General features: G+C 39.6%; 1 protein-coding gene across 10 annotated transcripts in view, besides 1 other annotated feature; it reads right to left on the minus strand.

Annotated features, from left to right (window-relative positions):
• Nucleotides 1-26,468, minus strand: part of FYB1 (FYN binding protein 1) — a 169,277-nt gene extending 142,809 nt beyond the window's left edge. For 6 of the 10 annotated variants that reach the window (XM_011514011.3, NM_001243093.2, XM_047417074.1 and 3 more), the window contains exon 1: nucleotides 22,509-22,589. In XM_011514011.3, coding sequence (XP_011512313.1) covers nucleotides 22,509-22,511 — 3 coding nt within the window. In that variant the 5' untranslated portion in view covers nucleotides 22,512-22,589. Of the gene's footprint in view, nucleotides 1-2,610; nucleotides 2,747-22,508; nucleotides 22,590-26,342 lie in introns of those variants that run through there. The other 4 variants (XM_047417073.1, XM_047417072.1, XM_011514010.2 and 1 more) reach the window with 4 other exon arrangements.
• Nucleotides 8,490-8,699: an enhancer, noted in NCBI's record as "active region_22498". NCBI's record gives its function as "activates an Ori minimal core promoter by ATAC-STARR-seq in GM12878 lymphoblastoid cells {active_cell/tissue: GM12878}" and the evidence as "EXISTENCE:reporter gene assay evidence [ECO:0000049][PMID:35858748]".

The following is a 26,864-nucleotide window of genomic DNA, read 5'->3' on the forward strand; positions in this document are numbered from 1 at the left end:
TCTGGGTGGGTGGAGAGAGTCAGGTGGAAGCACTCCACAGCAGACTTCATTTGTCAAAGAACTATAAATAAAGAAAAGGGACTTACATGTTGAAAATAAGTTTGAATATAACATTAATTACTCTAATTGACTGATAACCATATAAATTAAGCTTCTGACACCAGCCAGGCACTGGATAAGGAGCTTTTTAAGCAAAGACAAATGCAGACAAGGATGCTTTTAGGGACTGGTTGGTGGAGACAGATAAGAGTGGAAAAAGTTTTCCTGGTAATATGATGGCACACTGAGGACACAAATGGAGAATATCCAGTTCTTTGAGGTGGGGAGAGGCAGGGCTTGACTGGGACAACAGGCTTCTTAGAAAAAGTGACACTTAGGCTGGGCTTGGTGGTGCCAGCACTTTGGGGGTCAGAAATTATGACATATGCTATAACATGGAGAAACCTCGAAGACGTAATGCTAAGTGAAATAAGCCAATCACAAAACAGCAAGTATTGGCCGGGTGCTGTGGTTCAATACTGTAATCCCAGCACTTTGGGCGGCTGAGGTGGGGATCACTTGAGGTCAGGAGTTCGAGACCAGCCTGGCCAACATGGCGAAACCCCGTCTCTACTAAAAATACAAAAATTAGCTGGGCATGATGGTGCACCCCTCTAATCCCAGCTACTCAGGAGTCTGAGACAGGAGAATCGCTTGAACCAGGGAGGTGGTTTTTGCAGCGAGCCGAGATCATGCCACTGAACTCCAGCCTGGATGATGAAGTGAGACTCTGTCTCCAGGTAGGGTAGCCTAAATATCTTAAATATTCCCCTTAGAATGGACAAAGATACCATTGGTGACAGTCTAGCACAACACTGTCCAATGTGGTAGCCATTAGCCACATGTAGCTATTTAAGTTTAAATTTTTGTTAATTAAAATTAAATAAAATAAACAATTTAATTCCTCAGTTGCACTAGCCACAATTTAAATGCTCAACAGTGAAATGTGGCCAGTGGTTATGGCACTGGGCAGTGCAGACACACATGACTTCTCCTTCATCACTGAAATTTCTCTTGGCCAGTGTAGGGAACAGTAAGCAGCCAAGCACTGCTGGAGTGTAAGGTTTAAGGGGGCTATAGCAAGAGCCAAACCTGGGGATAGAGGTTGTGGCCAAAGAATGCCAGCCTTACATGTGATATCATGAAGTTCTGACTTTATCCACTAGGCCAGATGTCAGCAAACATTTTCTGTAAGGGGCCTGATAGTAAATATTTTTGGCTCTTGAGACCACATGGTCTTTGCTGAAATGACGCAGCTCTGCTCTTGTAGTATGAGGGCAGCCATATACAGTATGTTAATGTGTGAACATGGCTATGTTCCAATAACACATTCTTTGTAAAAACTGACAATGGGCTGGATTTGTTCACAGCCATAGTTTGCTGACCCCTGCACTTGGCCTTTAGGAGCTATATGGAGGGTTGGAGCCAGAAATTTACATAATTAGAAAGACCATTCTAGTAGCAGAGAGGGATGGACTTAAGGGGTGAGAGATGCAAAACTATAATAGTGAGTCAAAGAGGACAAGAGCCTAAATTCTGAAAAAAGCCTATTGAACATAGTTGGAGAGAAAATGATGTGTATGTGTTTGTAAGTTTGGTGTCAGTGCACTGGTGGAAATGGAGAAATATAAAATGACTCAGAAGGTGAGGGATGCACTCAGCAAGTTACAGAATACAAGAGGAGGAACAGATCTGGTGAAAGATGGTGACTTCATCATGTGAGCCATCAGCAAAGAGTTAGTAGCTAATATGGTTTAGCTCTGTGTCCCCACCCAAATCTCATCTCAAATTGTAATCCCTATAACCCCCATGTGTTGAGGAAAGGACCTGGTGGGAGATGATTGGATCATGGGGGTGGTTTCCCCCATGCTGTTTTCATGATAATGAATGAGTTCTCATGAGATCTGATGGTTTTATAAGGGGCTCTTCTCCCTTTGCACTCTCTCTCTCTTTCTCTCCCCTGCTGCCATGTAAGACATGCCTGCTTCCCCTTTTACCATGATTGTAAATTTCCTGAGGCCTCTCCAGCCATGTGGAACTGTGAGTCAATTAAACCTCTTCTCTTTATAAACTAGCCAGTCTCGGCAGTTCTTTATGGCAGTGTGAGAATGGACTAATACAGGAGCTAAAGTCTTGAGAGAAGCAGAGAATGCTGAGGGAGGGCAGGCAGAGTGAGAGAGGGGCAAAGATGGTGCCTTGTGTGTTACCAAAATACAAAGTGTGATTCAAAGGATACTGAAAAGGACTTGTTAGAGACAGAGGGAGGAGAATCAGGGAAGAATTGTATTGCAGAAATCGAGGAAAGACTATCAAATGCCATCAACATGTTTAACAAGATTCCACTAGGTTTGATGATTAGGAAGCATTTTGGGAACATTATCCAGAATAGATTTTGTCAAACAAAATAAAACAAAAATATCACCATCAAAGTGTCTGGAACCTCCTTTTTTGAGTAGTATTAAGTGGAGCGATAGTAGGACTTTTCATGTTCTTGGTTCTTTTTCTTCTTTTGGTGTTAAATGGCAGGATTACTTGAAAGCAGAGAGACAATTAGGGTCCTTTGAATCTCACCTTGTAAATTCCATGGTCCCGCAATCACACTATCCTGGGACGGAAGGGCGGGCGAGATCTTATCACCTCTGGGGTGATCTCTGGAAACTTCTGGTGTGAGCTTCATGCTGCGAGTGCTGGGAAGTGGCTAGAAAAACTTTCAAAATGATATGATATTCTGATTTCAGGATAAGGAAAAACAAAAATGGATGACGTCTTAAGCTGAGATTTTATGCAATAACCATTCTTCATACATACAAATGTTTTACCCTGAAGTCACCTTAATAAAGAAACCAAATATTAACATCTTTAAGATGGAATCATGTCATTTTTGAGTGTTTTATTTGGCAATTTAATGGTCAAAAGATGAAAGGATTTCAAATGATGATTTATAGCAACCTTTGAGGATGATTATATTAGGAGAATATTTTACATGTCTTGTGGGTGAATGTATCTCACTCAAACCTTGAGTGATTTGTTGTTTAAAGTTTTAAATTTTAGAACCTGGAAAAACGGAAAATAGAGGCCTGTGATCTGCAACAGTGTTTCTTGAGATAATAAGAAGTAGTGTTTAATCCTGAAGGAATTAATTTAGACCATGAAATTATGAGAATGATACATAGCCCAACACTTTATAAGTTAATATAAATACCCTATAGACCACACTAGGGGAAAATTAAATTGAATTACAACAATGGTAACAACAAAAATATAATAAGTAGCCCTTCATTGCCAGAGACCACTTAGCTCACTCAGTTAGAGGGGAATCATTTGAACTGGAACTGTATTTACTGTGGGATTGGCTGATGCTCCATATGGGCTGCTCTCTACTCCCTGGCCAGATCCTGCCTTGACCTTAAAGCCATCCTGAGAATAGGTAGGGCTACTTGAGTAGTTGGAAAAAATCTCTAAAGAGCAAAGTGTGAAAAGTAAGGTGCACCCTATACATAGGAATGCTAAGAAAGAAAGCTAGACCCTGTATACTAATCCTTTTTTTTTGAAACAGAAAAATACAATTAGAATCAGAGCTAGGATTTAAGAACTAAGTAAAATTATTATAAAGTTTACTTATTTATACATGGATAAGGACATCAGTAAATGTTGTGAAAATAGAAGCAATGAGGGAAGGAATGAGGGACACTAGTTCTATTGGGTAATATAATGTAAAGTAGTAATTTAAAAGGTATGATAAAGGTACAAAAATAAAATATAGGGCCGGGTGCAGCGGCTCACACCTGTAATCCCAGCACTTTGGGAGGCCGAGGCGGGTGGATCACGAGGTCAGGAGATCAAGACCATCCTGGCTAACACGGTGAAACCCCATCTCTACTAAAATATAAAAAAATTTAGCCTGGAGTGGTGGCGGGCGCCTGTAGTCCCAGCTACTCAGGTGGCTGAGGCAGGAGAATGGCGTGAACACGGGAGGCGGAGCTTGCAGTGAGCCAAGATCGCGCCACTGGACTCCAGCCTGAGCGACAGAGCGAGACTCCGTCTCAAAAAAGTAAATAAATAAATAAAAAATAAAAAAATAAAGAAATAAAATAAAATATAGATGGCTCAAAACAGAGTCATAATGTGTAATAATTCTAAAGATAACAAAAACAGGGCATGTGTTGCAATAATTAAAAGGATTATGAAGAGTGTGTAAGAATGTGAGCTAATGTTTATGAATTAAACTTAAGTGAAAAAATAATATGATAATTATGCAAAATGCATATACTTGTAGATAAAGACTGAATGGTCACATAATATAAGGGAAATAGCTATGGCTGTGGAATTTTTTAAAATTTTCTTTAATATATTTTTGATCACACACACAAACACACAAACAATCTGTTATGCAAGGAAGGAGAAATCAATTGGTATAAATTCTTCCCAATTCTTTTTAAAAAGGTCAAAGCATATGTCTTAAGAGAAGGGCTCACAGTATCATTAGCACAGTTAACTAACAATCTGGTACCAACCTAGTAACACACATACAGAGAGAGACATGCAAACTCATACTAAGTTTATGAAACAGCAAGTTCTCTTTGTATTCTACCGCTAGACTGGGTTGGTGCCTTTCTTTTTACCCTAGAGAACTAGGAGAGTGGAATAGTTTAGACATAGGTTCTAGGGCCAGACAGTCTAGGATTGGATCTTTCTGGCTGCTAATCACTTAACTTCTCTCCCCACTGGTTTCCAGATTCATGAAATGGAGTAAAAGTAGTACCTCATCCAGGGTTGCTGCAAGAATTCAATGATTTGACATTTTAAAAATACTTACAACTGTGTCTGGCATAGGGGAAGCACTTAGTAAAATGTTAGCAATTGTTATTCATATTATATTTCTTATTTCCTAAAATACAAAGTTTAAAAAGTGATTTGAACCTTGATATAGCTCAGGACAATGCTATGCTTACAAGGGGTAGACAGAAACAATCCGATTTTTTCTATTCCTAAAGAAAAGTACACGTTTTACTGCTCACATTATCTAGTCTATTAAGCTAATTCTTTGAGATTCACTGAGATGACATTGCAGTGGTAATAAATAAGATACTTCCATAAAATTAGGAAACCATGTTTAAAATTTACAATGCAAGAATGTGAACTGATGGAAACTCCTTGAAGTAGATATATTAAAGATAACTCTCAAATATAAGTGAGTACTTATTTTCACATTTTAAAGACCCAAAGCCTAGTTTTATTCCCATGAAATAAAAATGTCTATAAACACTGCCAAAAGCCATCTGGGGAGTCCAGAACCTCTCCTGCTCTTCAGAGACTGAACCTATGACTCATCATGAATCCTTGGGAAATGACAACAACAAAATCTTTTTTTTAAAAAAAATATTTTAGGTTCAGGGGTTCATATATAGGATTGTTACATAGGTAAATGTGTGTTGTAAGGCATAGGATTGTTACACAGGTAAATGTGTGTTGTAAGGTATAGGATTGTTACACAGGTAAATGTGTGTTGTAAGGTATAGGATTGTTACATAGGTAAATGTGTGTTGTAAGGTATAGGATTGTTACATAGGTAAATGTGTGTTGTAAGGCATAGGATTGTTACATAGGTAAATGTGTGTTGTAATGTATAGGATTGTTACATAGGTAAATGTGTGTTGTAAGGGTTTGTTGAACAGATTATTTCATCACCCAGGTGTAAGCCTAGTACCCAATATTTTTCCTGATCCTCTTCTTCCTTCCATCCTCCACCCTCTGATATGCCCCAGTGTGTGTTGTTGCCCTCTATGAGTCCATGTGTTCTTATCATTTAGCTTGCACTTATAAATGAGAACATGTGGTATTTGGTTTTCTGTTCCTGTGTTAATTTGCTAAGGATAATTGCCTCCAGTTCCATCCACGTCCCATCCATGAATGAGGACATGATCTCATTATTTTTTATGGCTCCGTAGTAGTTCTATGGTGTATATGTACCACGTTTTCTTTATCCAGCCTACCACTGATGGGCATTTAGGTGGATTCCATGTCTTTGCTATTGTGAATAGTTCTGCAAAGAACACACACGTGCATGTATCTTTATAATAGAACAATTTATATTCCTTTGGCTCTATACTCAGTAATGGGATTGCTGAGTTGAATGGTATTTCTGTCTTTAGGTCTTTGAGGAATCGCCATACTGTCTTCTACGATGGTTGAAGTAATTTACACTCCCATCAAAGGTGTATAAGCGTTCTTTTTTCTCCACAACCTAGCCAGCATCTGTTATTTTTTGACTTTTTAATAATAGCCATTCTGACTGGTGTGAGATGATATCTTACTGTGGTTTTGGACAATGACAAAATCTAAGCAAAAACAGCAGGAGCTGAATCTGGCTTATATTTTCTGAAATAAAATTCTATTTTACAATTACAATCTCAGTGTTTCCCTAAATTAGCATATATTGGTTGGCATGAATATCCTCATTTCTATCTAGAAGGAGGATTTTGTTTTAAACTGTGTAGTTACTTATTAAGTTAGAAGCATGGTTTTGCCTTAATCAGAACAGGTTTTTGTAAAATTGCAAGCCTTGTGGAAAACATATTGGCAACTTGAGGCATGCAAAATAATATGGTGGAATGCAAAATAATTGGGAAGAAAATGCATCTGAAAACTAAAGGTGCTTGATGAGAATTTCAAGGCATTGACAAGAGAAATGCTGAAGACAGGACACACCAAATCAAGAGGGATTAGTGCTGGAGAGAGTGCAAAGTGGAAGTTTTCATGAAAAAAGAAAGTTGGAACCAAACATTAAAGGAAGTGCCAGACCTGATCTGGCAGAGGGGAAAGTGAAGGAGAAGCAGCAAAAGCACAGCTGTAAAAGGCAGAAATGGAAAGGCCTTATACTTTGTGTAGGGATATGTCTAGAAAAATATTTATTGAAGTGTTAATAGTGGTTTTCTTTAGATAGTAAGATTTTTACCTTTTCTACATTTTCTTATATTTTCGGAACAATTTATCATCACATGCATCTCATTTTTACAAGAGGAGAAAATCATGGAGCTATTTACATTTGGGGGAAAAGGTTTATTGTGGATATTTCATTTGGTGGATAAATGGAGGTATAAACACATGGGTTAAGAATATAGAAAATGGAGTTCCATATTTCCCAGCTCTACTTGCCCAGTCTATGTGACATTTAAACTTTCCCTTCCACGCTTTTTAAAAAAATTTTAAGCATTTGCAAAAGTTGAAATTAAAGTTGGAAGTTAACACCAACGTACTGCCACCTACATTCTCTAATGGTTAGCATTTTGCATCCTTGCTTTATCACATCTCTCCATTTATCCATTCACCTGTTTTTTTTTTTTTGGATGAGTTTCAAAGTTGCAGACTTCAGTACCTTTTTTTATACCAAATTTTAACCACCCCTAAATTCCTTCCACACACGCACACTCAAGACTTGTCCATAACCTCCAAGCAGGATGTTATTCATTTAAATATGACCCCATTTTCCACACCTAGATACTGCTTCCAGTCCAAACATGTCCAAAATCAGCTGCCTACGCAGAGGACAAACTTTACCAAACCTTATCCTGACTCTTTCTACATACCCAGAACTGTATACTTTAAAGCCAAAGGGAAACTATCTGAACTGCATCACCAACTCCAATGTTTTCAGGAACAAAGTAGGTAACATAAAAAGCAGGCTTGTGGAAGATAAATCCAGTGGGTCTATTAATGAAGACCAATCCAGTCTCAGTGTGGAGGATGCAACAAGAAGAAAAGAGCTACTCAGAGAACTTGAGAAAACAGAATTTACTGTCAAGGTAAGGCTTCCACACTCAACCAGCTAGCTTCAAGGAGCCTTGAATTTTAATCAGTATCTCTCCTTTGTTTCCACTGATGATCTAGGTCACTTAAAGGTCCAAATGTATTAGAACAGTTAACATAGTAAGTGCTCCGTTAAATAGAATCTTTCTTTAATTACAAGTATTTATGGGGGCAGTATTTATAGCCATTCAGTTAAATACAGATCTTAGCAATGGAAAGGTAACACAGATATTACAAATGCAAAAATATGGTGTGTTTCTAGTTTGTGCAAATTACCTGCCCAAGAAGGCATTTTTTCCTCACCTATAGATTGACTACCTGTCTGCAATGAACCCAAAGGAGAAACCAGTATTCACAGTGATCAAAAGGGAGACCTAGCATCATTTCCCAGGAATGTGTTTGCAGCCCTCCCCACCTTTTTTTGGTGTATGTGGCTTACAAATTAAAAAGAAGGACTTACCGTGTGGAAGGGTAGAATAGTGAGAAAAATGAGAATATTGAAGAGTCAAGGAGTCTAGAATATTACGTACGGGTTTTCATGCCGAATTAGCCATCAAGACATGGTTATCCTGGCTGTTTTATGGGAATGCCCTACCTCTCTCCTTGCCCTGCTTATCAAATTAGCTCAGGGTGGCTAGGTTTTACAACCATCTGCAGTAGGCATGGTTGGTAGCTACAGGTGGACTTTGCTTAGAAATCGGAAGCTACGACGATTTCACCCTCACAGTCTTTTTTGTTGGTTTGCTTGATGATTAAGACATAGTTTGGAAATTCCCTGTCTTCCCCTTCTCTGCCTCCTAGATGACTAATTTGAGCAGTGTTTATTGCAGCTGTATTGTGTTGGGTGGCTATGTTCTGCTATTGAAAAAAGTCCACCCAGCCTGAAATGCTGTCTCATGTAGTTGTGGGTACATGTGATAAAATTAATTTCTCTCGGATGAATGTCCTCTTGTGATAAAGTGAATGTAACTACTTTTATTTCAAAGTTGCAATGAGTAAAAGTGATGGTAGTTCTTTTGGACTATGTCCATACCTTGAAAAGTCAAACATTTTCATGTAAGTTCAGCCTCCCAAACATCTGTGAAAGTGTTTTCACTGTTTTCACTAGATTTCACAGAAATAATTTCATCTAAATATCTGTTATAGATCAGATTCAGCAGATGTTAATTTCATCTCCATGTCTTTTCACTTCTGCCAGAACTTGCATAAGGGCTGAATTTATTGTTGGCTTATCAGTTTCTGTAGCTCAAATCTGAGTATAGAATATTCTGAACTCTGGTTTAAAATTCCATTAGCTAGTTTTAAAAGGCATATAGTAAAACTCTAAAATTTTTTATGAGAAAAGTTAATTTTTACCAATGTTTTTAAACAGCATATAACAGTTTTTGGGAAAAAGTAGGACTTATAAAGCAAAGGTCCTAATATGAAAAAAAGAGAAATACCCTTTAAATACTTTTTAAAAAGTCTCTCTTCCCAAGATACTTATTTTGACTTAGGTTCGTCTTGCAGAATTTTTTTTTTTTTTTGCATGTAGAACTTACAAAATCTTTTAGAAATATTTTGTGTAGATTTTGCTGTGTGACAGGCATTATGCTGAAGATATTCACACATAAACCCATGCAACTCTTAAAATAAACTTAACAAGTAGGTATAGTGACTTATCGCTTTTTACATATGGAGAAATTGAGGCACAGAGAAGGTAAATTGTAATGAGAAGAACTGAAATAGAAATCAAGGGAGTCAAGCTCCAGAAGAGATCACTTTAAACTTTGTTCACTAGAAGTTTACCAATTTTCGCTTAGAATTCCAAAACACCAGCATAAGTGATGATCAGAATGGGCTAAACAGTAAATGAATAACTAAAGCAGACTTTGACTGGATGTTTCAATCATTTGGAGACTAAAAAAAAAAAAAAGTACCTGAGCCACCAGGCCAGCCAAATCAAAATCTCTGGGCTTGGCACTCAAACAGCTGCATACTTTAAAATTCAACAGGCAGTTAAAATGGGCAGCCAGGTTGAGGACCACTGATCCAAAGCGTCTTTAGCTGTGTCTGGGTTTGGGAGATCTCAAACTTGAGCGTGCATCAGAATCACTGGGAAGGCTTTGTTAATACACAGGTGGCTGGGCCCCACCTCCTTTCTTATTTAGCAGGTATTGGGTGCGGCCCAAGAAGTTCTATTAAGTTCCCAGGTGATATTGATGTGCTGGTTTGGGAGCACACTTTGAGAACCACCGTCTTAATAGGTTGGAGTAGGGGTGAAGTGTGGTAATGGAGACCTGGAAGTAACTTGATTAATTCTCCTAGTGTCTCATCTACCCTGATGCTGAAACATTTCCTCTCCTTTGTTGATTTACTCAATACCATTAATCAGGGATGAAGGGGGAAAAGAGAAACGAAAGATATGAAGCTAGCCGGGCGTGGTGGCTCACACCTGTAATCTCAGCACTTTGGAAGGCTGAGGTAGGCAGATCACCTGAGGTCAGGAGTTTGAGACCAGCCTGGCCAACATGGTGAAACCCCATCTCTAATAAAAATACAAAAATTATGTGGGTGTGGTGGTGCATGTCTGTGATTCCAGCTACCTGGGAGGCTGAGGCAGGAGAATCACTTGAACCCAGGAGGCAGAGGTTGCAGTGAGCTGAGATCGTGCCACTGCATTCCAGCCTGGGTGACAGAGCAAGACCCTGTGTCAAAAACAAAACAAAACAACAATAAGAACAACAACAACAAAAACCCAGAAGATATGGAGCTAAAGGGAAATGCAGGAAAAGAGATGGAGGAGAGCAATCAACTTCTGGTTAGTAAATGAAAGCTTTTGGCTCTCTCACTGACTTAGCACATGTCAGTGATAGATTAAATATAAAATGAAAAAAAATGTAAAGATAGCAACACTTAAAAAGAAGATAAATCTTTCTGTTTTGGAAAGAGAACAGAGGCACAAGGCAATGAGTGAGACTGGAAGACTGAATAGGCGGCTGTTGGTTCAGGGTATGGAAGGGTTTGTTAATCTAGCTTTTATAGTGTAGGGTCACTCTGTGAAACCAAGGGCAGTAAGAGACATGCTTTTCCCTCCTCAGCAACATGAAAGGGGACTAAATCGTATGTTGCTGAGATTGTGTTGGTATAAACCAGTGATTCTCAACTGGGGGGTTGGGGATTTTGCCCCCTCACACCACCATGGGCCATTCTATCACATCTGAAAATGCTTTGAGTTGTCACATGGGAGGGTGTGGAGGTGCTACTGCTGTCTAGTTGGTAGAGACCAGAGATGCTACTAAACATCTAACAATGCACAAAAGTGCTGAAGTCCAACTGTATCTAGCTGGTAGAGACCAGAGATGCTGATAATCATTCTCCAATGCACAAAACTGCAGGAAACCCAGTTCCAGAACAAGAAACCCTGGACTAAGTACAGCACAGCACCAGGAGCTAGGCCAGTAGGCTGGTTGATTTAGTAACGAGTATGCGAAATGTCCAGAATTACTGTGGGCCTGAATCATCCAGATGTTCATGTAGATCTGGCTCTGGGCTGGAGGCCTCAGGAAGAAGTGGTACAGGTAAGTACAGCATGAGAGAATGTGGAGTGAAGGCAGGTAGAAAGAAAACTAACCAACCGATCAACAAAGCCTCCTTGAAATTTGTCTACAACATGAAATTCCATAACACAGGAAGAAAACTATTAATGACAAAGTGAACTCAACAAAATCATCCATGAAATATACAGTTATATCAATTAAATTAAAACAATAGAATAATCTGAAAAGGACTTTAAGAATTTAGGATTCATTAAGAAATAATAGAATACTATCCAAAACAGAATATAAGAATATTTAAAACAAAAACATGCACATATTAGGCAGGAACGTGGGGGATAAGAGAAACAATTCCAAAAATTGGAAATACAAACTTTATCATTAAAACAAAAACTCAAGAAATAGGATAAAATCTGCATTGGACACTCTAGATAGGGTGAGCAACTTTCCTGGTCTGTCTGGAATTGAAAGGTTTCTAGGACATGGGATGTTAGTGCTAAAACTGGGAGAGTGCTGGACACACTAGGACAGTTGGTGACTCAACACATACGAAAAAAAGTTGTGAATGGAAAGATGAAGCTGATAAATGGATTTAAGATTCATCAAAGAGAGACACAGAGATAAAAAGTTTGGAAGAGCAATTAAAATCATGGAGGATAGGTGATCAGAGACTAGCTTTAATAGGAGCTTTAGACAAAAAGCATAGGAAGGAGGAAATGATAGAGTAATGGCTTTGAAAAGATAATGGCTGAGAATTCTAAAGAATTGAAGAAAGTCATTAGGCTTTAGATCAGAGATTGGCAACTATAGCTTGTTGGGTAAATCCAGACTGACATCCATTTTTATAAATAAAGTTTTATTGGAGCACAGCCACACCCATTTATTATGCATTGTCTATGGCTACTTTCTTGTTACAACAGTAGAGTTCAATAGCTGTGACAGATGTGAGAGGGCCTGCAAAGCCTAAAACATTGACTACTGGTCTCTTTAGATAAAATATTCTTAGCCTCCTGTTTTAAATTGATACTAGGAGTACCAAGCAGGATAAGTAAAAATAAATTCACGTCTCTGTGAAGCATAGTAAAAGCTCAGAACATAAAGATTTTAAAGGAGGTGACAATTTTAAATACAAGGAATGACAATTAGATTTGAAAGCACACTTCCACTGGCAACAAAGGAAGTGAGAAGCCAATCAAGTAAGTCTGTAAAGTGGTGAGGAAAAGTAACTATATATTTAGAATATTTATAGTCAGCTCAACTATCATTTAAGAGTGATGTCAAAATGAAGTTCTCAGTCATTTGAAGACCTATACTGTATACATCGTAGTGTATAATATTCCTATTCTTCCAAATTGTTGATGTTCTTTGACATGACCCTGAATGCGTGGGGATTATACATCCTCATAAATTCTGCCCTGTTTAACTGAGATATGTCCATATGACTTACTTTGGCCAATTAAGTGTAAATGACAGTGATGTTCATTTCCTCCAAGCAGAAGTTTTAAGAACCAGAAATAGGGTTGAAGGATTGTATTAAATGGGCAATTACCCTGTATTAAGATCCTGGTTGTGTTTGTGTAATAATAGTAGAAATATTGAATAATCTTAGAGATTGTTAGACAGCAATCACAGGAACAGAAAACCAAACACTGCATGTTCTCACACATGAGTGGGAGTTGAACAATGAGAACATATGGACACAGGGAGGGGAACAACACACACCAGGGCCTGTTGGGGGATGGGGAGCGAGGGGAGGGAACATAGAGGATGGGTCAATAGGTGCAGCAAACCACCATGGCACACATGTACCTATGTGACAAACCTGCACGTTCTGCACATGTATCTCCGAACTTAAAGTAGAATTAAAAAAAAAAAAAAGAACGTGTGTAGATTAAGACACACACACACACACACACACACACACACACACAAAGAAATTGTTAGACAGCAGGCAAGAGTTATGTGTACCCGTGCAAGAAGATATATGAATCCAGAGCAAAAGAGCATAATTAAGAAACAATGAGGCTGGGTGCAGTGGCTCACGCCTGTACTCCCAGCACTTTGGGAGGCCAAGGCAGGTGGATCACTTGAGGTCAGGAGTTCAAGACCAACCTGGCTAACGTGGTGAAACCCCATTTCTACTAAAAGGACAAAGATTAGCCAAGTGTGGTGGTGCGTGCCTGTAATCCCAGCTACTAGGGAGGCTGAGGTAGGAGAGCCACTTGAACCCAGGAGGCGGAGATTGCAGTGAGCAGAGATCGTGCTACTGCCCTCCAGCCTGGGCAACAAGGCGAGACTCTGTCTCAAAAAAAAGAAAAGAAAAGAAAAGAAATAATGATGAACATGGAATTTTATGAACTATATTGATCAGTGTAACAGAGTTGGAAGCCCAGAAGCAGAGTCCCACAAAGATGGGAAATGAATATGTGGCAGAGGAGGCATTAGAAAGTGATGGGGGAAAAGAACAAGCTAACGTAAATAATACTGCAACCAGTGGTTATCCATATCAGCTAATATTAGATGCCTGCCTTGCATCACAAATATAAATGGTATCCTTATGATTAAAGACCTAAACATGAAAATGGAGTCTTAAAAACAAGAACACTTCAAGGAAAAATTAGAAAAATGACTTTAATATTTAAGGGGTAGGGATTAATTTCTTAAAAGGACATCAAAAGCAGAAATGATAAAGACTTATTTTAAAATTTGACAACATTAAGATTTAAAACTTCTGTATAAAAAAGAGACACCAAAAGTAAAGTTAAAAAGAAGCCATAGACTGGGAGAGCAAAATTTGCAATGCTTGTAATTGACACAGGATTAATGCCTAGAATATATAAGAAATTCCTCTAAATCAACACGAAAAAAAAATCTATAAAAAATGGATGAAACACATGAGAGATAATTTACAGAAGAGTTTATTGGAATGGCTAATAAACTTGTGAAAACATGTTTCATCTCAGTTATAATCAGAAAAATTAAAACTAAAACAATAATGAAGTACAGTTTTACGTGTAACAAATTGTCAAAACTCTATCAATAAATATGACAATGTCAAGTTTTAGGGATGATGTAGAGAAATGGCAACTTTTGTAGAAGGCTGATGGGAGGTAAATCATTACAATGACCTTAAAGAACAAGTTGCTAATGTTAGATAAACTTGAAGGTTCTCATACCCTCTATGCCAAAGGATGTTCATCTACCACTGTTTGAAATTGAAAATAATGGCAACAAATCAAATGTTGGAGAATACATGAATAAATTACAATAGAATTACACAGCAATTCAATAGATTGAATGTGTCCAAAGGGATATTCTTGAAAAAAACCCAATGTAGAGTGAAAGAAGGCAAAGTGCAGAAATCATGAAAAAAAATCTGGGCAAAACAATACTATATGTTTGGAGATATTATAAGTTTTATGGATACACACAGATAAAATCAAAGCATAAAACCATGGCTGGGAAGGCTATTCTGAAAGGCACTTTAAAAATAGTTGTTTCTGTGCTGTGGGAAGGAGGGACATAGAACTGGAAAAGGGCAGAAAGGGACTTTAATTTTCTCTTTTTTAGTTTTAAAATAGATGCCAGAACAGTAATATGCATTAATTGTAGGTTGTGAGTATATGAGCATTTGTTGTATTATGTGTTTCATAATAATTTAAAAAGAGAAGGACATGAGAGAAAAGAAAGGGCGGATGGAATGGAGTGCTAGAATTGGGGAAGTGATATTGAAGTTGCCGAATCAAGAACTGGAGCCCCATGCCTACCCACTTCAAGAGCAAGGGTGCCACAAATTTAGTGTATTCTAACACATGCTCTAAGAAGTGTCTCACATCTCCTCCTAGATGCACTGATGTGTTATATGAGTGCAAGATATCAGCTAGAATTTGAGCCTCTTATCCTTGGCTTAAAACTAACTTGTCATAGTACAGGATTTTTTTTTTTTAACACAGTGGGATAGATCTTGCTGCAGAAGGTAGGTGTCCTCTTTTGCAGAAGGAGAGGATATGAATAGGCCAGGGATGGCAACAGGGAAGTGTGTGGAGTGATATTAGCCTATCACTCAGGACTATGATTGGCCTCCACAGCTTACCTAAAAGAAAAAAAAATCACCTCTCTAATTGAAGGAAGTGGATCAGAACTCCAGCCCTCACAGGGAACCTTCTAGCTCCGTTTCCATACTCTCAGATTTCCCTGGGACACCAGTTCTCAACTGGGGCTTCCATCATGGCCTACAGTTTATTTATTTTCACATCTTAGGACCTGTTCCCCTCAGAAATTCTGTACTTACTTTCTAACTTGGATGTAGTCAAATTTGGGGCCACACTTTTGAGGGAGAACAGGAACAAAGCCAATATTTAAGGCCCAAGCCAGGATCAAGGCTATCTGGAGAGGATGCACGTCACTTCAGAAGTAGCCCTACCCTCAAAATATGAAGCAGGTAATGGCACCCACTCCTCAGCTCAGGTGTCTCCAGTGGCTGCTCTGGTGAACAGTATGATCAAATTCCAGGTCTGAATGTTTGTGTCCCTCCAAAATTCATGTGTCAAAATCCTATCCTCCAAGATGATGGTATTAGAAGGTGAGGCCTTTGGGGAGGTGCTTGGATGTAAGGACAGAGCCCTCACTCTGTGCCTTCTTTCACTCTACATTCGGATATTTTCAAGACATATCCCTTTGGACACATGCAGTTCAATCCAACATTTGACTTGTTGCCATTATTTTCAATTTCAAGCAGTGGTAGATGAACATTCTTTTGCATAGAGCTGCCATCCACACTTAATGCATATGGGATAATAATAATCCTTATAGGAGAAGCCAAAAGAGCTTATTTGTTCCTTCTGGTATGTGAGGACACAGCAAGAAGTTGGCAGTCTGCAATCTGCAAGAGGGCCCTTACAAGACTATGACCAATCTGGCATTCTGATCTTGGACTTTGTAGCCCGCAAAACTGTAAAAAATAAATTTCTGTTGTTTACGAGCTACCCAGTCTAAGGTGTTTTGCTATGGCAGCCCAAATGGACTAAGGCAGCCTTAAGACCCAGCATTCATGTGGCCACTGCCTGTTCCATAAAGCCATCTCTTGTCACTCTCTTCTTCTCTTGCCTATTCTCCAGCCATCCTGGTCTTTTTACAGCTCCAAGCTCTCTCCTGCCTCACCTCTTTTGCACCTGCCACTTCCTCAGCTTGAAATGCTTTCTACCCCCATTTACCCCATGCCCAACTCATTCTCACTTTTTGGTGTAGCAATGCTCAACCCTCACTGAGCCCCACCTCAAGTTTCAGTTTCATTGGTTTCGGGGCCTGAGAAGAGGGATGTTTTATAAGCTGCTGTAGTGATTCCCATGTGCAGCCAGAGTAGAGAACTACTGCTTCAGCCTGAACATCCCCTCATCAGAGACCAGACACCTCTCTCAAGAGGATTTCTCCCCTCCATTTTCTATCTCAGCTCCTCATTTGCCTCCTTCAGAGCTCAGTGCAAGGTATTTTATTTATTTGTTCACTTTGATGTTTTTGATCTATTACTTCCCAGGAAAAGTGGTTCTCCAAGCGTGGGCCCTGGACCAGCAGCGTCAGCCTCATCTGAGAACTTATTAGAAATGCACATTTTTGGCCGGGTTCGGTGGCTCACACCCGTAATCCCAGCACTTTGGGAGGCCGAGGTGGGTGGATCGCCTGAGGTCAGGAGTTCAAGACCAGCCTGGCCAACATGGAGAAACCCCATCTCTACCAAAAATACAAAAAATTAGCTGGGCCTGGCCAGGTGTGGTGGCTCACGCCTGTAATCCCAGCATTCTGGGAGGCCGAGGCAGGTGGATCATGAGGTCAGGAGATCGAGACCAACCTGGCTAACATGGTGAAACCCCATCTCTACTAAAAAATAAAAAAAAAATTAGCCAGTTGTGATGGCGGGCGCTTACAGTCCCAGCTACTCAGGAGGCTGAGGCAGGAGAATGGCGTGAACCCGGGAGGCGGAGCTTTCAGTGAGCTGAGTTCACGCCACTGCACTCCAGCCTGGGCGACAGAGCAAGACTCTGTCTCAAAAAAAAAAAAAAGAAAAAAAAATTAGCTGGGGATGGTGGTGGGCACCTGTAATCCCAGCTACTTAGGAGGCTGAGGCAGGAGTATGGCTTGAACCTGGGAGGCGGAGGCTGCAGTGAACCAAGATCACGCCATTGCACTCCAGCCTGGGCAACAAGAGCAAAACTCTGTCTCAAAAATAAATAAATAAATGAATAAAAGAAATGCACATTTCCAGGCCCCATCCTTGACCCTCCCAGTGATTCTCATGCATGCTAAAGTTTGAGAACCACTACCCTAAGTGTAACCCGTGGGAAGCCTGGACACCATGTGTTGTTCACCCTGCATTCCAATGACTAGCAGAGTGCAGACTTGAAGTAGGAGCTCAAATAACCTTTGTTGAATGAATGAGTGACAGTGCAATTTGACTACACTCCTTTCAGGAGCTCCCATGTAGCTTAAAAACTGGATGAAAGGAACAAAACAAACCAGAAACCCCAAACACAATTTTTACTGTTTTTTTTTTTTTTTACTGACCTAAGGTTTATGCATAAAATACAAAAAAAAATTGTACATGACTAGAACATCTATTTCTTCATTTCTTCCAGAAAATTCTACAATTTAAAATGTACCTAAAATTACTTGCCAAGTAAACAAGTATTATTCTATTGTTTTCATTTTAGGACTGTAAAGTGAGCTGATCTAAGGATATAGATTAAGTCAATTTCCACAGGGGCAGATAAAGTAGAATTCTACTGCCTCTTCTCCCACTTCTAAAATCTAGAATCACACTATGAATAAGGATGTAGGGGAACACCTAAGCCAACTCTGTATCTTGACTGAGCCTCTTGAAAGAGGGCTGAAGAGATAGGGTCAAGATTCCACAGGGAGAAATGGGAAGGTTGAGCTGGAACCCAGCACCCCTTGCTAGGTTGGAAGATGAGCCCAGTGTCGTGTGTCCAATGCCCATCAATCTAAATATCTAATGTATCTATCTTCATAAAACACCAAGTGCCTTTGTGCTTCATTCTCACACATTTCCACAGTTTCCTTACCAATAAGTTACAGGGAAAGGGCAATAAAACGTGAATTTCCTTATAACCACTTGGTCCCCTTTTGGCTTGCTCCCTTCCTGGACAGTTCAGGAAGTGGGGGAGGTGGGGATTGGTCACAGTGGTGACACAGCAGATGAGCTTGGGGTGGAGAAGGGAGTTATGTAGTCATTAAGCCCCGCTTTCTGGATCCTGGGATAAAGAACCACAAAGCCAGGCATTCCTTCAGTCTCTCATCCCAGTGGCCTCTGCAACATTTCAATAAAGTGCACTTTCTGAAAGTAGGAAAACTCATAGTGACCATAGCAGAAGCAGACATGACAGCTGATCCTCAAGCCTACCAGACATGGTCACCAGCCTGAGAATGGACCTGGCACACCCCTAAAGGCCAGTCCTGGGCTTTTCTTTGACTACCAGCTTGTCTTCCTAGGTATCTACTTTTTCTGAGACGTAACAAAATGTAGAGGAGCTCCGGCTCTGAGAACAGATAAAATCGTCCTCAAATTCCAGGCCCAATATTCAGTAGCTGTGTGGCTGTTAGAAAATTACTTACTCTCTACAAGACTCAGTTTACTCAACTAGAAAACAGGGGGAATAGGAATAACTATTTGCAGGAATTGTTAGAGGAATTTAATGAGATAGTGTATGTCAGGGCTTAGCAATGCTAACTGCCAGTATTACTCTCCTGCAATCACTAGGAGTTTCTATGCATACTTTGGAAACTATTTATTTGGGGCTGAAATACAGGAATCCAACATCCATCCAGTGCCCGGCATGTGCCTGTATTATCACAGGGGCTTTATAATTGCAATCTTACTCTCCACAACAATCCTGTGGGATAGCTATCATCATCATCATCATCATCATCATCATCATCATCATCATCATCACGTCATCACCATCATTGGATGAGGAAACAAACCCAAAGCTTAAGTGACTTATGGAAAACAAGTAGTAAGCAAAACAAGTCAACAAGAAGCCAGGGATATAGCCTGTTGACTGTATCTGATCTCTTTCAAGGAGAAAAAATGGAGTTTTTTCCTTTCTTTAATATGCTACATGGCTTTCTGCCACTTGTTGAAGAATGTCAGCAGCAATGTTAGGGAGAAAGAAATTAAGGGGAAGTAACTTAATTTTGAAGTATAACCTTTTCATGCTACAAAAATAGGCATGGGAATACAAAGATAAGCATGTATATGCCATAATTGCACTGAGAAATTCACTTACTATGCCATTATATAGTAAGAAACTTAAAGTATGCTGCTTAACAACAAGGTAACTTGTGTTAGAAGTTTTAAATATATGTAGGTTTTCACCTGGCTACTTTGCTAGGAATTCTGTCAATGCAAAATAATCAGACAAAGTATATAAAAAATGCTTGTGACAGTCTTGTCTATATCACCATAAGGAAAGAAAAAGAGACAACTGAAATGTCCAACTCTATGGAACTGATTAAAACAAATTGTGGGCTACTACACAATTATTAAAAATGATTTATCATTAAAAACTACATTGTAACTCCAATATTATTAAAGATATTTTAAATAAAATGTGAGGAAATAGTTCATAAAGTATATAACACTTATAAAATTACATTTATAAAATATGCATTTAAAATGATGACATTCTCGAAGGATCTGTACTAACCTGGTGATTGTCCCTTAGTTGACAGAATTATAGAACACGCTTAATGTTTCATTTCTGTATATTTATATTTCTTTTTTTCTTTTTTTTTTTTTTGAATACAGGGTTGCCTGGGTTGGAGTGTGGTGACATGATCATTCATCACTGCCGCCTTGAACTCCTGAGCTCAAATAATCCTCCTGCATCAGCCTCCCTAGTAGGTGGGACAACAGGCATGCACCACTAGGCCTGGCTGATTTATTTTTTTACTTTATTTTTTATAGAGATGACATCTTGCTTTGTTGCCCCGGCTGGTCTTGAACTCCTTAAGTAATCCTCCCACTTTGACCTCCCAAAAAATTGGGATTACAGGCATGAGCCTGACCATTATCTATATTTCTAAGAAGTTTTTTTTGAGAAATATGTGTTATTTTTTTTTTCTTTTTGAGACGGAATTTTGCTCTTGTTGCCCAGGCTGGAGTGCAATGGCGCGATCTCGGCCCACTGCAACCTCCGTCTCCCAGGTTCAAGCGATTCTGCTCCCTAGCCTCCCAAGTAGCTGGGGTTACAGGCATGCGCCACCATGCCCAGCTAATTTTGTGTTTTTAGTAGAGACGGGGTTTCATCATGTTGGTCAGGCAGGTCTCAAACTCCTAACCTCAGGTGATCTGCCTGCCTCGGCCTCCCAAAGTGCTGGGATTACAGGTAGGAGCCACCACGCCCAGCCATGTTACTTTTATTATAAGAAAACAATAATCTTTAAAAACATCGTTACTCATATATTATACCAAATACATGCTATCCAGTTAAACTTCCTTTTTTCCTGCTGTTATCTTGTTTTGCCTAAGAAAATCCAAATAGCACTTTATAAACCACAGTGCTCCTGTTTAAGGTCAAGCTGTTTTCTTTTCTTTTCTTTTTTTCTTTTTTGAGATGGAGTCTTGCTCTGTGGCCCAGGCTAGAGCGCAGTGGCGTGATCTCGGCTCACTGCAAGCTCTGCCTCCCGGATTCACACCATTCTCCTGCCTCGGCCTCCCGAGTGGCTGGGACTACAGGCACCCACCACGATGCCCAGCTAATTTTTTGGATTTTTAGTAGAAGCGGGGTTTCACCGTGTTAGCCAGGATGGTCTCGATCTCCTGACCTCGTGATCCGCCTGCCTCGGCCTCCCAAAGTTCTGGGATTACAGGCGTGAGCCACCACATCTGGCCAAGGTCAAGCTGTTTTCTAGGAATCCCGGACCTAAAGACCAAACTTGGAAACGTAGAGGGATTTATAAGTCTCACTCCCACCTGAGCCTGAGACTGTCTTCTACAGGTGTTGCCGCAGGCAGGGTCATGCACTAACATTTCCTCTACCGTGTACTCCCCTTCTCAAGACTCAGTGACTTGCACGCTATCACTCTTCCTTCTTCCTCTCTCCCCCATGGGAAGATTACCCTCTCTCACCTCTACTCTTTCCCTATCCTAACTCAAGGTGCTTTCAGACAATACACAGTCACATCACACATCATTGAATGATCCCTTTATTCTCCCTGTTCCAATGTCTGCAATGCACAATCTCCAATTGAGCAAGCACAGGAGTCATCGTCTCAACTCCTGTCTTCTCACTGGGGGCTGACAAAAGGCAGGTATCCTCTCCGTAATAAGAGAAGGAATAACCAGTTTCCAGTCTTCTGGGGGCTGGGGAATAGCAGACAAAGACAGAAAATTAGCTCTCTTCTATACTCTGAGAGCATATGAACACCACATATATTTTGGGAGCCCTCCTTTTTTTTTCCCAAAGAAATAATGGAAAATTATGAAGCAGAATATTACTGCTGTAGTTCAGCTATGTTATGGGTTAAAGTAGTGCTGGGAACCCACTCACCATTTTAAGTATGCTCCAAATAATGACTTCCCATTAATTTTGAGAAGACAATCTGTCCTTAAGGTTAAGACTGTTTGGGCTTTTTTTGCGTCTCTTAATTAAAATAAAAAAATACATTTTCAAACAAAAGAGGTCCCTTTGTAAAATCTACTGTGTTATCAAAATGGCAATCACCATCATTAATGTTTCCCAACATTCGCCACTGGAGTCCTTTCCTGGGATCCAAACTGCTCATAACAGGAAACTCGACTAAATTACTGGGGCTGGCACCAAGCTATCCTATGAGGCAAAGACAAAGAATGCATATTTTCTTTCTGCAAGACAGTGCTCTTCCCCTATTCTGAAGGCTAGAATCAAAAAAAGGGAACTCTTGAAGCCATGTCTCTCAACTGGCATGAACAAGACTCAGCAGCTTCATCAGCACAAGGAAAAAGTGGCCAAGCAAAATCCCAAAGGCTCAGAGGACCTGACTGTGAAGCACCCTCAACTCTGACTGTTCTATGCAGAGAAGAGTAGCACATTTGCCAGGAGACCAAGGAGAGTTATAAAATCTATTACTTACCATTTTTATTGAAAAGAGTTGATATGCCTGGCACACAATGACCCCGAAGATGGTGCAGCTTGGATAGTGAATGTGCAAGTTAGCTATGCAGAGTGTACTTCCTTTTCTGAGCTGTGTGGTCTGTCCAGCTTTCACACATTGATATGTGAGGCTACATTTGCATGTTATCTCAACCCTCAGAGCATTTGTATAGCTGGCCAGGTTTATCTTGTTATTATTTTTCAATAATACAGGAACAGGTATAGATGTAGCTTTGAAGACTGAAAAATTGACACAAAATTTTTTAGAAGTACCTAGATATTAAATTTTGCTATACATTATTAATGTTTTATATAACTTCTATATTTTTGGATACATATGTGTGTGTGTGTGTGTGTGTGTCTCCATCTCTCTCTTATCTATGAAAGACTCACACCAAAATGTGAATAGCATTTGACTTGAGTGGATATATTATTATAAATAATTCTTTTTTTGTACTTTTTGGAGTTTTTCAAGTTTTCTATCTTGGGTATATAGCACTTGTGTAAAAACATAACTATAATCATTATTAAAAAGAGCAAAAGTATATGAAAATTTTAATAAGCAACTCCAATTATATTTAAATTCATATTACCAGTATTTAAATGAAGGAAACACTCATAAGCTTATCATAGAATGCCATTCATTTCCCTAAAAAAAAAGTACAGCTCAGTCTAGGTTCATGTATTAATTTTGGGGTAATATTTGTTAGCATCAGATGTTAAGGGCATAGTATTTGATCCCAAGTAGTCAGACTTTCCAATCATCCATGTACCTCTCTGAACACATTCTGATATACAGATTTGGCCCCTTTAATTGGAATATTTAGCCTTCTACTAAAGTAAGTTCAAGGGTAGAAGGTCATCTTTGTTTTCCATGGCAGAGGAAAGGCATGATTCCTTTTTTGGTGGTTGCAAATTTCCAGATCTTGTTGTAAGTATTACAGTGCTTATTTAGTGTAAGGTCACCAAATTTCTATACATGATGCTGACCAAACACTAATTAATCCTATATCCATACAAAATCCTTTTTCAAAAAAGATGTTACCTGTTATTTATTCCTTAAAATAAAAATGTTTTCAAAATTAAGACATAATTAGAAATTAATAGGACAGGCAAAAAGCCAGGGTAGGGGTTGAGTTCCAGAAGTAGAAACTGAGATTGTCCTGAAAACTTTACATATTATAAAGAGGGATGTGAGGCATGGTCAGAATCTGGTGGATGGTCAGGAATCTGAAATTGCACATTATCTTACACATAATACATGCTTAATGAATGAATAGAGGAGGAAGAGCAAAGCAAGAGCGAGGTATGGGACCCAGGCATACTTTTAAGTATAACACATTTTCCAGAATGCTTTGAAATGGAGACATTCTTTACTTTCACTAGAAAGCCTCTTATCTACTGTCTGTTAGAATAGAGATCATCAAAGTGCAGATACAGCTTAGGGTAAAGAGAATCACTCTAAAGCAGTGGTTCTCAACCTGGCTGCACATTAAAATCACCTGGGATGTTTTAAGTCTCAGCTCCCAGGCTTCACCCCAGGTTATTATATGAAAATCTGGGGTTGAAACTCAGGCATCAGTGTATTTCAAAGCTCACCATGTGATTCCAAGGTATGTGCATATTTGAGAGCCTTTGCCTTAAAAGAAGGAGCAGGTGACTCATACTAGCAAGATAGTGAACAGATCACCAGGCCAGCCTTGTGGGTAGAAATAATCGTGACACTCTGACACTGTTCTCTACTAAGTTAATCAACATGTTTACCCCATGTACTACATAAAAATTACTTAATCAGCCCGGGCGCGGTGGCTCATGCCTGTAATCCCTGCACTTTGGGAGGCCGAGGCAGGCGGATCATGGGGTCAGGAGATCGAAACCATCCTGGCTAACACGGTGAAATCCCGTCTCTACTAAAAAAAAAAAAATACAAAAAATTAGCTGGGCCTAGTGGCGGGCGCCTGTAGTCCCAGCTAGTCGGGAGGCTGAGGCAGGAGAATGGCATGAACCCGGGAGGCGGAGCTTGCAGTGAGCCGAGATTGCGCCACTGCACTCCAGTTTGGGGGACAGAACCAGACTCATCTCAAAAAAAAAAAAAAAAAAAAAAGAATTACTTAATCTTAGTCATGCTACAATTTCCTCTCTATACCAGTAAGTTGGACACAAATTACATGATAAACAGGAATCTAGCAATTATTCAGTTAACAGTGTAATTTATTGGGTAAGTCTCTGGTTAAGAGAACTTTGAATTTCAATTCATCCATCTAAATTCCATTTCAAGTTGTGCTTATTTCCAAATGCAGATTAAGGTAATTTTTAGTTGTTATTGAAATAAATTTAGTGGTCTTTCAAACACATATATTTAAGAAAAGTATTTTTGGCTAAGAAAAAAAAAGAAGTTCCCCACCCGGCCGGCTGCCCTGTCCAGGAGGGAGGTGGGGGGCGCCTCCGCCCGGCCAGCCACCCCGTCCGGGAGGTGGGGGGCGCTTCTGCCCGGCCGCCCCTTCTGGGAAGTGAGGAGCCCCTCTGCCCGGCCACCACCCCGTCTGGGAGGTGTACCCAACAGCTCATTGAGAACGGGCCATGATGACAATGGCGGTTTTGTGGAATAGAAAAGGGGAAAAGGTGGGGAAAAGATTGAGAAATCGGATGGTTGCTGTGTCTGTGTAGAAAGAAGTGGACATGGGAGACTTTTCATTTTGTTCTGTACTAAGAAAAATTCTTCTGCCTTGGAAAAAAAAAGAAAAGTTGAGTTGAAACTCCCAACTATAACTTGTAGTCCACAAGTATATTTTCATATTTAGTTTTTAAGGCATAATCATGTTATTTGAAAAATATATGTCAAACATCACATATGTGAGTATATCTCCTGTGAAGCCAGAGCTCAGTACATAAGTTCCTGAGCAGGAAGATGAAACAGGAAATGCAACAAAGATGACAGAGAGCATAGTGATACCATCTGAAAATGATAAACCTATGTTTTCGCAGTATGGGCACTGCAATTAGTCCTGCTAATAGAAGGGAGAAGTAGCTTACAGAATGCAAAATAAGTTATAATTCTTTAAATACTGGGGCATGCACTCTCTTTTCATACATTTTTATTTTAGAAAACAGTTTTTGTTCAGTCAATGGTGCAATGAATGAGTCTGCCCCTTCAGTACTCACTGAAGGTGGTGGCTAGGTGGAGACTGTGAGGTCTAGAAGAATGGGGTGGCTAGGGAAAACCAACTTCATTTTTTAAACTCATCTTGCAAGTAGATAAAGGAAAGAACACTAATAAAATTTGAGTAATATTAATGATCATTACTGAGAAGCATCGTCAGTGTTTTATCTATTATGCTTTTTTTTTTTCTTTTTGAGACAGAGTCTTGCTCTGTCCCCCAGGCTAGAGTACAGTGGCACGATCTCAGCTCACTGCAACCTCCGCCTCCCAGGTTCAAGCAATTCTCCTGCCTCAGCCTCCCAAGTAACTGAGATTACAGGCATGTGCCACCACACCTGGCTAATTTTTGTATTTTCAGTAGAGATGGGGTTTCACCATCTTGCCCAGGCTGGTCTTGAACTCCTTACCTTATGATCCACCCACCTTGGCCTCCCAAAGTGCTGGGATTACAGGTATTAGGTTTTAAAAGAAGCATGGTTAAAACTGTTAGCATAGAAGGTTAGAAATAGTTATAAACTCCGATACATTTTCTTTTTTATAACCCGAATGTCTAACATTTTATACAAGAAACAAGTAGCCATCTACTCTACGTGCCCAACATTAATGTGCCTGGCTAAGACCCCTGAGATAGAACAGAGGGATGTCGAATCTCACCTTTTCCAGGAAGGCTTCTCTGCTGCTAGCTCACTGATCTCCTGTTTTTTTCTGGAAGCCTGCAGGCCACACTACAAAATTAAGCTCTTTTAATATGTTTGCCCTTTATGGTTCTCTAATTGTATTGGGTGTATTAGGTTTGGCTCCTCAACTAGATTGGAAACTGCTCCAATGAGAATTAATTTTCATACTTCCTTTTCTCACTCTAAGGTCCTAGGTCAGCTTTTTTTAAAACACTTTTTCTTTTTTTTTTGCCTCGTGAGTTCCTCAGATGAAAGCAATGTTTGTTTTGTACACTGATTCTGCATCTACAACCTTCCTTGAAGCCCATCATTTATGGGAAGCTATAAGAGAACCTTTGGCTAAAATATCGCCAAATACTAAGAGATAGTCACTACAGAGCTGCTCTTTGATCATGAAATTAAAGGAAACTTACAAGCAGATTCATAAAAATTCAAGGAAATTCAGTCTCCCTGTTTGGCTAGATATGAAATAGCAAATGGGAAGTAGCAGGAAAAAGCA

This window comes from Homo sapiens, chromosome 5 (assembly GCF_000001405.40).
Source record: "Homo sapiens chromosome 5, GRCh38.p14 Primary Assembly".
Taxonomy (NCBI): domain Eukaryota; kingdom Metazoa; phylum Chordata; class Mammalia; order Primates; family Hominidae; genus Homo; species Homo sapiens.